This window comes from Homo sapiens, chromosome 12 (genome assembly GCF_000001405.40).
Source record: "Homo sapiens chromosome 12, GRCh38.p14 Primary Assembly".
Lineage (NCBI taxonomy): Eukaryota > Metazoa > Chordata > Mammalia > Primates > Hominidae > Homo > Homo sapiens.
This window is the reverse complement of record NC_000012.12, coordinates 105,247,678-105,259,342: the sequence shown is the minus strand read 5'-3', so window position 1 is coordinate 105,259,342 and position 11,665 is coordinate 105,247,678.

Sequence of the window (11,665 nt, the reverse complement as noted above, 5' to 3'; positions counted from 1 at the left end):
TCATCAGGGAATGGAATTCTGCTATCAACAAGGTGACCACTGTGTACACCCCCAGGAGAAGAAGGAACTGGTTTAGGAGCTTGTCTGCTGACATCTCTATAGAGAGTCAGAGGCTAGTGAAACTCACCTCTTATGAGGAAGTCAAGGAAGGACGATGGGTCAGGAGAGAACATGGGATGGATCAAGTGGAGTGCTGCAGCACAGGCAGAGGTTGGGGAGGTCTGCCCACAGCCTAAAATGACCTCAGCCATAGAACCAAAGTCATACATAATGACACAGGCACACAGAAACCATAGAGCCAGCTTCACATTTGAAGACTGGAGAGTGAAACACCCACAAATTCATATTTAATATGAAAAGCATTCAGGAAAAAAAGATGTATACATTTTGCTACCCTGACCTCAATAACAACCCCCCAATCATAATGAAAAAGTAATTCACTCCCTTTTTATCATCTATGGTATAAACACTCATTCATTCCAGAAATATGTATTGAGAGACCACTCTGTGCATGGGCTGTACCAAGCAGGGCCTGGGGCACACGGTGGAAGGAGGGCCTCCAGCACAGTGCAGTCAGGTGGGAACACCTGCCTATAAAGAGATCCTTATAGTGCAAGGGGCCACATGCCATATGGAGGTATGTAAGGGCTGGTTGAAGCTTAAATGAGAAGCATTCCACCTTGGGGTCAGGGAAGGTCTCCAAGGAAGATGATTAAGTAGGGTCTTGAGAGATGACTTTGACATCCCACAAAACAAAAAGAAAAAAAAGGAACTCATGCTGGTTAATATAGAGGAAACACCCTCTCCCTCATAGACAGCCTACAGTAGCTCCAGGGATAGCACTATTCATGTTAGAGAATCACAATTCATGCTTATAAAAATGGCCTTAACACACCAAGAATAGAATGTTACATTCTGTCTACTCTGTTTAATAAGGCTAAGAAGAACAAAGGCACTTTTCTCCCAAGATTTTCTGATCCTCCTCAAAAGTATTTTTTAAATAACAAACTGACAATTCAGTTATATGGGGAAAAAAACATTGTATTCCTAAAAATGCTACATCAAAGGAATCTTTTCACAAGAACACTCCTTCTCCACATATTTCCATTGCTCCCATTTTTCTTAATTAAATATTTTTAATGATTACAGGTACATAATAGGTATATGTATTCATGGGGTACATGTGATGTTCTGATTCAGGCATACAATGTGTAATAATCACATCAGGGTAATTGGGGTATCAAAGACTTTTCTTCAATTACATAGCATCCCAGAAAGCAAGATTCAGGTATAGAATCACATTTTCAGGGCAGTTCAGTGTGGTGGGCAAAGCACAGGCATCAGAGTCAGCTAGATCTGAGCCCAAATCCCAACGCCACCTCCAAACTTGTCATGTAAGCCTCTGTTTCCTAATACACACAATAAGAATAATGATACATGCCTTGCGTGGTTGTCGACCTCAATTATATAAGCACCTAACACAACATCTAACATACATTAGGCCTCAATGTATGGCAGTTATCATGGTCTATGATTGTGTTGCTGTTGCTGTTACTCTATTCCAAGCATTCCAAAATGTTGTACTAGATAGGCAAAATTGCTATAGAACAATTTTCCAGCAGAGATGGACAATCCTATCTGCCTCATTTGAATCTTCAGTGACCTTCTGGGTGAGCAGAGTGACTCACAGAGCTATGACTAAGAGCCAAGTCCTCCACGGTGTGTCAAAATCATGATTTAACTTTATTCAGGAATGAGAATTCCGTGAAAACTTATTTGTGGGTTGGGAATGATTTCAAGTGGTCATTAGATCCAGCAACCTACTCTCACTTCCAATATGTCAGAGCTCATGGGAGTCGTTTAAATTAATGAAGTGCAGTGAGTGGCTGAGGCTGTAGACATGGCCAGTCTAGCCTCTAACATACCCTGGAGGGACCCAAACTATTCAACAAAGGGATCTTCATGGAGTCCAAGCTATTCCACAGTGCCTAGGACTTAACAGAGGCTTGCCGAAAGTAATGATGACCCTCATGAAACTTCTTCACCTAAAACACATCTACAACTTGATTTTCTAAATCCTCAATAGTTTCTGAAGTGAGTTTGCTCAAACTTTCCAAAATATTTCTTCTTTTAGACATGATTAAGCCTGAAAAATTTCATCCTAGCCGGGAGAACGCTAGTGAAAAATAAACTATGTATGAGTAATGTACTTCTATAAAGGAGGCCTTCGTGACATTCTTCTCTACTGGAGAACACTTTGAAATTACATGAAGGCAGAAGGTTGATGGGTCCAGGGATGGGGAGAAAAAAGGGAGAGGATGGAAAACAGACCTATGTCATCAAGAATCCAAGCATCAAACAACAAATCTGTTCTCTCTGGTTACCCAGAGTTGAGCACTGTAACCAACTGCACTCCAAATGAGCCACGTGCAGTTTTGATGACCAGATATGGTAAGTTTTGCAAAGAAATAAACCTGAAATTTGTGAGAGAAGCTATTAAGTGAGGGGAAGAGATGGAAAATGGTTGATATGGTTTGGCTCTGTGTCCCCACCCAAATCTCATCTTGAATCGTATTCCCCATGTGTCAAGGGAGGGAGGTGATTGAATTATGGGGATGGTTTCCCCGATGCTATTCTCATGACAGTGAGTGAGTTTTCACAAGATCTGACGGTTTTATAAGTGTCTGGTATTTCCCCCGCTTGCACTTCTCTCTCCTACCACCATGTGAGGAAGGTCCTTGCTTCCTCTTTGCTTTCCACCAAGATTGTAAGTTTCCTGAGGCCTCCTCAGCCATGTGGAACTGTGAGTCAATTAAACCTCTTTTCTTTATAAATTACCCAGTCTCAGGCAGTTCTTTATAGCAGTGTGAGAACATACTAGCACAACAGTATTCAACCCGTAGTGGCTTTCTGAAGTCTAAGGAGGACCTCTGTGAGAATTTAGTGAGAAGTCTTGAGCCCTGGCCCAGGAGCTGGTGCAGCTCTTGCAGCAGCTAAGGGACTAATTTCATGTTCATTCTGTGTTGATCTCTGCAGTGGATGGAGGAAAAAAAAAAAAGATAACTCTGGCAAGACTGAGCATCCATCTTTTGGTATCTGAGAATGGAGCAAAGAAAGAGAATCCTGAGCAGGAGGTGGAAGGAGATAAAGTCTTAAAATATGCATGACTTGATCCGGTTACTCGTGGGAGGCACAGTGAGAAGGAGAGGAAGTGAAATGGCATTTACTGAGAGGCAACAAGAATGTAAGGTTATGGAAGGAAGGTATTCTGCCTGTCTTGTTCACCAATGTGTTCCCAGCTCCTAGCATAGATCCTGACATGCAGTAGACACTCAATAAATATTTGCTAAAGGAAGGAAGGATTGGCATGGCACAGGTCTCATTCCATACTGGGAATTCAGTGATTTTTTTTTTTGAGATGGAGTCTCACTCTGCTACCCAGACTGTAGTATAGTGGCACAATCATGGCTTACTGCAGCCTTGACATCCAGTGCTCAAGTGATACTCCCACCTCAGCCTCCCAAGTAGCTGGGACTACTGGCATGTGCCACCACATCCAGCTAACTTTTAAATATTTTATAGAGACAGGTCTCCCTATGTTGCCCAGGCTGGTCTAGAACCCCTGGCCTCAAGCAATCCTGCCACTTTGGCCTCCCAAAGTGCTTGGATTACAGGTGTGAACCACCATGCCTGGCCTCAGTGAATATTTTTGAAAGACTCGTTTAATTAATGAGTACCTACCGTATGCCAGGCATTGTTTCATTTCTCATTCCATTTACAAAAGTTTATTGAGTGAACTCCTATCATTTGCTAGATACTCTATTGGACACTGTAGTCAAAAAAGAAAAGAAACAGTTCCTGCCCTCGAGAAGCTTATAGTGCAATGGCAGTGAAATATCTAATGACCACAGGCTGCATCAAAGTGCAGGGAAACACAGAAGAGCATCCCAGTCTTTCTGGGAGAGCCGAGGCAGTCTACAGAGGAGGCAGCCTTCAAACAACTGAGACTTAGGATGAGCAGGTGCTTCCAGGCATTCCAGGCAATGAGAACGGTGAGAGAGAACTGCAAATAGATCATATCTGCAGAAGCAGAGATTTCTGTGGGGCAAAGAAGGTGGGAGAAAGGAAAGAAATGAGGCTTAGGCCTAATCACAAAAAGCTTAGTCTTTCGTTTGAAGCTGCGTGATATAGAAAATAGGAAAGAGGACCAGCTTTGTGGGCATGTGGCCTGTACACTTTACTGCATTAGGCCCCTGCACTCAGAAGGGCCCCATGCTTGGTTTAATGCTCTGCTGTCGACAGTCTTGAAATTCTTAATAATTGTATCTTAGAACTTGTGTTTCATTCGCTTGTCCTGGAGCATGAGCAGAGGAGATGTGTGCAGTATGCATGTTCACTTTTTCTCGCCAATTCATTTAAATATGTTCATGATGCCCCCGGGCACAGAATTCCACTGTACCTACTATGTGTGGGAGTTTGGCAAGACTCAAAGCAAGTACAAGGTACCAAGAAGTGTGTATCAAGAAGTGAAATAGTGTAAAACAGAGGGTTAGTTTGTGCAGCATTTCCACTGTTGTGGTAGGAATGAAATACAATGGGCTAAAAATACAAATTGCATGACTTCAGTGATTCCACATGTGCATTAAATGCTCTTATATTTTCATGTAAAACTGGCATTGCATAATATAAAGAGGAACAGTAAATGTTATATTAATAATTTATAATTCAAATTTTTCTTTACTTAGAACACTAAGTAATAGATAAAAACACCATGACAAGTTGAGACAGAAACTATGAAAAAGCAAAAATCTTTCTATTTCAATCCAGCTAATGACACTTTTCCCTTGCTTTCTGAACATTTTGCTCTGGGCCCCACAAACTATGTAGCTGGCCTTGATGAGGCACCACTAAAAAATGTTGGGCAGGGAAGAGACAGGACATGACTATCATTTTGGAAAAATAACTGTCACCAGAGTGTGGAAGTTACAGCAGGGGGAGAAAGATACGACCAGGAGCTAGAGGACCAGTCCTTGTGGGTAGCACAAGCTTGTGAGGTCTGTGCTGGAGCAGGGTCAGAGGGGCTGGAGAATGGGACAGATGTGCAAGGAATTAGCGGGCAGAGCCCTAGGGCTTGAGAATTTATGGCAAGTGGGAGATAAGCCAGAGGAAAGAATACAGCTTGGCTCCCAGATTTCTGGCTTCAGCCCCTGGGTGATGCTTTTCACTGAGATGTGGAGTAGGAGAAAGGGAGCTGGGTATGTGAGGGAGGAAGGATGGGTTGACTGGGACTGGGACATGCAGTAGACATGTGTAGACATAGGGTAGACATGAGTCATGTTTGGGTGTGTGCAGTGCCTCTCCCCATCCCCCTTCTTCTGGTAACAGACTCCACCTCCTCTGGCCTCAGGGGTGTGGCCCTGACCTAGGCTGGGCCCAGCATGGTACCTGGTGGTATGCACACACATACACACACACGGTCACAGTTAGGGGTCCAAGAAGTTGGCAGGTAGGTGTCTGAAGTCAGGGTAATCAGATTTCTTCCCTAGGACTTTTGAAGCCAAAGCTAGGAGATGTCCCTTTCCTCTCTTTGACCAGAAGCGAGCCTGCAGCGCCAGCCGATATGGTTCTAGCGACCCTGAGACTCAGGTTTTGAAGAATAAAGACAGCATGGAGAGACGTGTTTGCATGAGTGGTGAAGAGAGAGTCCAAGGGCTTTGGCTTCCTAGTTCCAGGAAGTTTCTGCCCTCACATCTACCCTTCCTGGTTATACAATCCAAAAACTCCAGCCCCCAACCCCACCACCATCACTACCATTACCACCACCACCACTAGCAGCTCCCGCTCTTCCAGGTTTTTATGTTTTCCTTAAGCTAGTTGGAGTTAGGATCTGTCATTTGCAACTGAAAAAATCCTGATTAATACAGACACATAGATAAGTGCCTACGGAAGCAGGATATAGTAGGCAGTATCGTGCTCATCTCATAGAGAAGTGAACTGAGGTTCAGATAGCTTAAATACATTTACTTTACTTGCGCAAAGTCTCATGGCTAGCAAACTGCAATGCCAGGGCTTGAACGCAGGGCTAACTCCAAAGTTGATGATCCTTCTACGATGCTACACTTTCCTCTTAATCTGTTAATTATTCTTACCACTCTTTTCTATAAACCCAGGGTTTCAAATTTAGGAATATTCATGCCGCTACTCCCTCGAGTTTCTTACTCAATGACCAAAAGTGATGAGGGCCAGACCATGATTTCTCTGGAGTGTTTCCCAGGCTCTGACTAGTCCCACTTTGAAAGTCATGGATAGCAAAGGACCAAGTTGCTAATTTTGCAGAAGTTTAAAGTCAGCGACCTTGTGCCTTGGACATTATTCTCCTAAACTTTATCTTGTTTTATGAGTTCAAATGGAAAGTCAAGGCTTAATGCCTACCAAGAGTCACAGGAGTGGTAACAAACTGAACCGAAGGCTTCAGAACTTGAGAACATCTCTCTTTACCCTTTGCTTGGACTTGTTCCTCTGTGTATCATTGTGTTCTCTTCTTTTTTTTTCTTTCTATTTCATTTTTTCCCTTCTATTCCATTAACTCAAACCTATTCTAAAGAGAATTTTTTCTGATGAACTCATTCTAGGGAACTGTGACAGACATCATTGTCCCCAAAATGATATTTCCTCCTTTTTTATCTTCAATAATAGAACACACTTTTAAAATTTTTATTTTGAAAGAGTCTCGCTCTGTTGCCCAGGCGCAATTACGGCTCACTGCAGCCTTGACCTCCTGAGCTCAAGTGATCCTCCCACCTCAGGTTCCCAAGTAGCTAGAACTACAGGCATGTATCACCACAGCTGGATAATTTTTTAAAAAGTTTTTGTAGAAATGAGGTCTCATTATGTTGCCCAGACTGATCTTGACACTGTGAGCTCAAGTGATCCTCTCACCTCCACCTACCAAAAGTGTTGGAATTACAGGCATAAGCCGCAGTGCCCAGCCTAGAACCCATTTTAAAAACTCTATTATTTTTGCACTGAGATATAACATAAAATTGAACATTTTAAAGTGCATGATTTAACAGTTTTTAGCAAATTCATATGGTTGTGTGACCATCACCACTAATTCCAGAAAATGTTATCACCCCAAAAAGAAACCCTATACCTGTTAGCAGTCACTCCCCCTTCCCTCCTCCCTCCAGCTCCTGGCAATGACTATCCTACTTTCTATCTATATGGGTTTGCCCATTCTGAACATTTCATGTAGTAGCTGGAGTCATGTGTAATAGACGGCCTTTTGTGTCTGGCTTCTTCTAATTAGCAGATTATTTTCAACGCTCATCTACATTGTGGCATGCATAAGTGCTTCATTCCTTTTTTTTAATTTTTTTATTATAATTACACTTTAAGTTTTAGGGTACGTGTGCACAATGTGCAGATTTGTTGCATATGTATACATGTGCCATGTTGGTGTGCTGCACCCATTAACTCATCGTTTAACATTAGGTATATCTCCTAATGCTATCCCACCCCCCTCCCCCCACCCCACAACAGGCCCCAGAGTGTGATGTTCCCCTTCCTGTGTCCATGTGTTCTCACTGTTCAATTCCCACCTATGAGTTAGAACATGCAGCGTTTGGTTTTTTGTCCTTGCGATAGTTTGCTGAGAATGATGGTTTCCACTTTCATCCATGTCCCTACAAAGGACATGAACTCATCATTTTTTATGGGTGCATAGTATTCCATGGTGTATATGTGCCACATTTTCTTAATCCAGTCTATCATTGTTGGACATTTGGGTTGGTTCCAAGTCTTTGCTATTGTGAATAGTGCTGCAATAAACATACGTGTGCATGTGTCTTTATAGCAGCATGATTTATAATCCTTTGAGTATATACCCAGTAATGGGATGGCTGGGTCAAATGGTATTTCTAGTTCTAGATCCCTGAGGAATCGCCACACTGACTTCCACAATGGTTGAACTAGTTATGGTTACAGTCCCACCAACAGTGTAAAAGTGTTCCTATTTCTCCACATCCTCTCCACACCTGTTGTTTCCTGACTTTTTAGTGATCACCATTCTAACTGGTGTGAGATGGTATCTCATTGTGGTTTTGATTTGCATTTCTCTGATGGCCAGTGATGATGAGCATTTTTTCATGTGTTTTTTGGCTGCATAAATGTCTTCTTTTGAGAAGTGTCTGTTCATATCCTTCACCCACTTTTTGATGGGTCGTTTGTTTTTTTCTTGTAAATTTGTTTGAGTTCATTGTAGATTCTGGATTTTAGCCTTCTGTCAGCTGAGTAGGTTGCGAAAATTTTCTCCCATTTTGTAGGTTGCCTGTTCACCCTGACGGTAGTTTCTTTTGCTGTACAGAAGCTCTTTAGTTTAATTAGATCGCGTTTGTCAATTTTGGCTTTTGTTGCCATTGCTTTTGGTGTTTTAGACATGAAGTCCTTACCCATGCCTATGTCCTGAATGGTATTGCCTAGGTTTTCTTCTAGGGTTTTTATGGTTTTAGGTGTAACATTTAAGTCTTTAATCCATCTTGAATTAATTTTTGTATAAGGTGTAAGGAAGGGATCCAGTTTCAGCTTTCTACATATGGCTAGCCAGTTCTCCCAGCACCACTTATTAAAAAGGGAATCCTTTCCCCATTGCTTGTTTTTGTCAGGTTTGTCAAAGATCAGATGGTTGTAGATATGTGGCATTATTTCTGAGGGCTCTGTTCTGTTCCATTGATCTATATCTCTGTTTTGGTACCAGTACCTTGCTGTTTTGGTTACTGTAGCCTTGTAGTATAGTTTGAAGTCAGGTAGCGTGATGCCTCCGGCTTTGTTCTTTTGGCTTAGGATTGACTTGGCGACGCAGGCTCTTTTTTGGTTCCATATGAACTTTAAAGTAGTTTCTTCCAATTCTGTGAAGAAAGTCATTGGTAGCTTGATGGGGATGGCATTGAATCTATAAATTACCTTGGGCAGTATGGCCATTTTCACGATATTGGTTCTCCCTATCCATGAGCATGGAATGTTCTTCCATTTGTTTGTATCCTCTTTTATTTCCTTGAGCAGTGGTTTGTAGTTCTCCTTGAAGAGGTCCTTCACATCCCTTGTAAGTTGGATTCCTAGGTATTTTATTCTCTTTGAAGCAATTGTGAATGGAAGTTCACTCATGATTTGGCTCTCTGTTTGTCTGTTATTGGTGTATAAGAATGCTTGTGATTTTTGTACATTGATTTTGTATCCTGAGACTTTGCTGAAGTTGCTTATCAGCTTAAGGAGATTTTGGGCTGAGACAATGGGGTTTTCTAGATATACAATCATGTCATCTGCAAACAGGGACAATTTGACTTCTTCTTTTCCTATTGAATACCCTTTATTTCCTTCTCCTGCCTAATTGCCCTGGCCAGAACTTCCAACACTATGTTGAATAGGAGTGGTGAGAGAGGGCATCCCTGTCTTGTGCCAGTTTTCAAAGGGAAAGCTTCCAGCTTTTGCCCATTCAGTATGATATTGGCTGTGGGTTTGTCATAGATAGCTCTTATTATTTTGAGATACGTCCCATCAATACCTAATTTATTGAGAGTTTTTAGCATGAAGGGTTGTTGAATTTTATCAAAGGCATTTTCTGCATCTATTGAGATAATCATGTGGTTTTTGTCTTTGGTTCTGTTTATATGCTGGATTACATTTATTGATTTGTGAATGTTGAACCAGCCTTGCATCCCAGGGATGAAGCCCACTTGATCATGGTGGATACGCTTTTAGTGTGCTGCTGGATTCAGTTTGCCAGTATTTTATTGAGGATTTTTGCATCAATGTTCATCAAGGATATTGGTCTAAAATTCTCTTTTTTGGTTGTGTCTCTGCCCGGCGTTGGTATCAGGATGATGCTGGCCTCATAAAATGAGTTAGGGAGGATTCCCTCTTTTTCTATTGATTGGAATAGTTTCAGAAGGAATGGTACCAGCTCCTCCTTGTACCTCTGGTAGAATTCGGCTGTGAATCCATCTGGTCCTGGACTTTTTTTGGTTGGTAAGCTATTGATTATTGCTTCAATTTCAGAGGCTGTTATTGGTCTATTCAGAGATTCAACTTCTTCCTGGTTTAGTCTTGGGAGGGTGTATGTGTCGAGGAATTTATCCATTTCTTCTAGATTTTCTAGTTTATTTGCGTAGAGGTGTTTATAGTATTCTCTGATGGTAGTTTGTATTTCTGTGGGATCGGTGGTGATACCCCCTTTATCATTTTTTATTGCATCTATTTGATTCTTCTCTCTTTTCTTCTTTATTAGTCTTGCTAGCGGTCTATCAATTTTGTTGATCTTTTCAAAAAACCAGCTCCTGGATTCATTAATTTTTTGAAGGGTTTTTTGTGTCTCTATTTCCTCCAGTTCTGCTCTGATTTTAGTTATTTCTTGCCTTCTGCTAGCTTTTGAATGTGTTTGCTCTTTCTTTTCTAGTTCTTTTGATTGTGATGTTAGGGTGTCAATTTTGGATCTTTCCTGCTTTCTCTTGTGGGCATTTAGTGCTATAAATTTCCCTCTATACACTGCTTTGAATGTGTCCCAGAGATTCTGGTATGTTGTGTCTTTGTTCTCGTTGGTTTCAAAGAACATCTTTATTTCTGCCTTCATTTCGTTATGTACCCAGTAGTCATTGAGGAGCAGGTTGTTCAGTTTCCATGTAGTTGAGTGGTTTTGAGTGAGTTTCTTAATCCTGAGTTCTAGTTTGATTGCACTGTGGTCTGAGAGACAGTTTGTTATAATTTCTGTTCTTTTACATTTGCTGAGGAGTGCTTTACTTCCAACTATGTGGTCAATTTTGGAATAGGTGTGGTGTGGTGCTGAAAAGAATGTATATTCTGTTGATTTGGGGTGGAGAGTTCTGTAGATGTCTGTTAGGTCCGCTTGGTGCAGAGCTGAGTTCAATTCCTGGGTGTCCTTGTTAACTTTCTGTCTCGTTGATCTGTCTAATGTTGATGGTGGGGTGTTAAAGTCTCCCATTATTATTGTGTGGGAGTCTAAGTCTCTTTGTAGGTCACTCAGGACTTGCTTTATGAATCTGGGTGCTCCTGTATTGGGTGCATATATATTTAGGATAGTTAGCTCTTCTTGTTGAATTGATCCCTTTACCATTATGTAATGGCCTTCTTTGTCTCTTTTGATCTTTGTTGGTTTAAAGTCTGTTTTATCAGAGACTAGGACTGCAACCCCTGCTTTTTTTGTTTTCCATTTGCTTGGTAGATCTTCCTCCATCCCTTTATTTTGAGCCTATGTGTGTCTCTGCACATGAGATGGGTCTCCTGAATACAGCACACTGATGGGTCTTGACTCTTTCTCCAATTTGCCAGTCTGTGTCTTTTATTTGGAGCATTTAGTCCATTTACATTTAAAGTTAATATTGTTATGTGTGAATTTGGTCCTGTCATTATGATGTTAGCTGGTTATTTTGCTCGTTAGTTGATGCAGTTTCTTCCTAGCCTTGATGGTCTTTACATTCTGGCATGTTTTTGCAGTGGCTGGTACCGGTTGTTCCTTTCCATGTTTAGTGCTTCCTTCAGGAGCTCTTTTAGGGCAGGCCTGGTGGTGACAAAATCTCTCAGCATTTGCTTGTCTGTAAAGTATTTTATTTCTCCTTCACTTATGAAGCTTAGTTTGGCTGGATATGAAATTCTG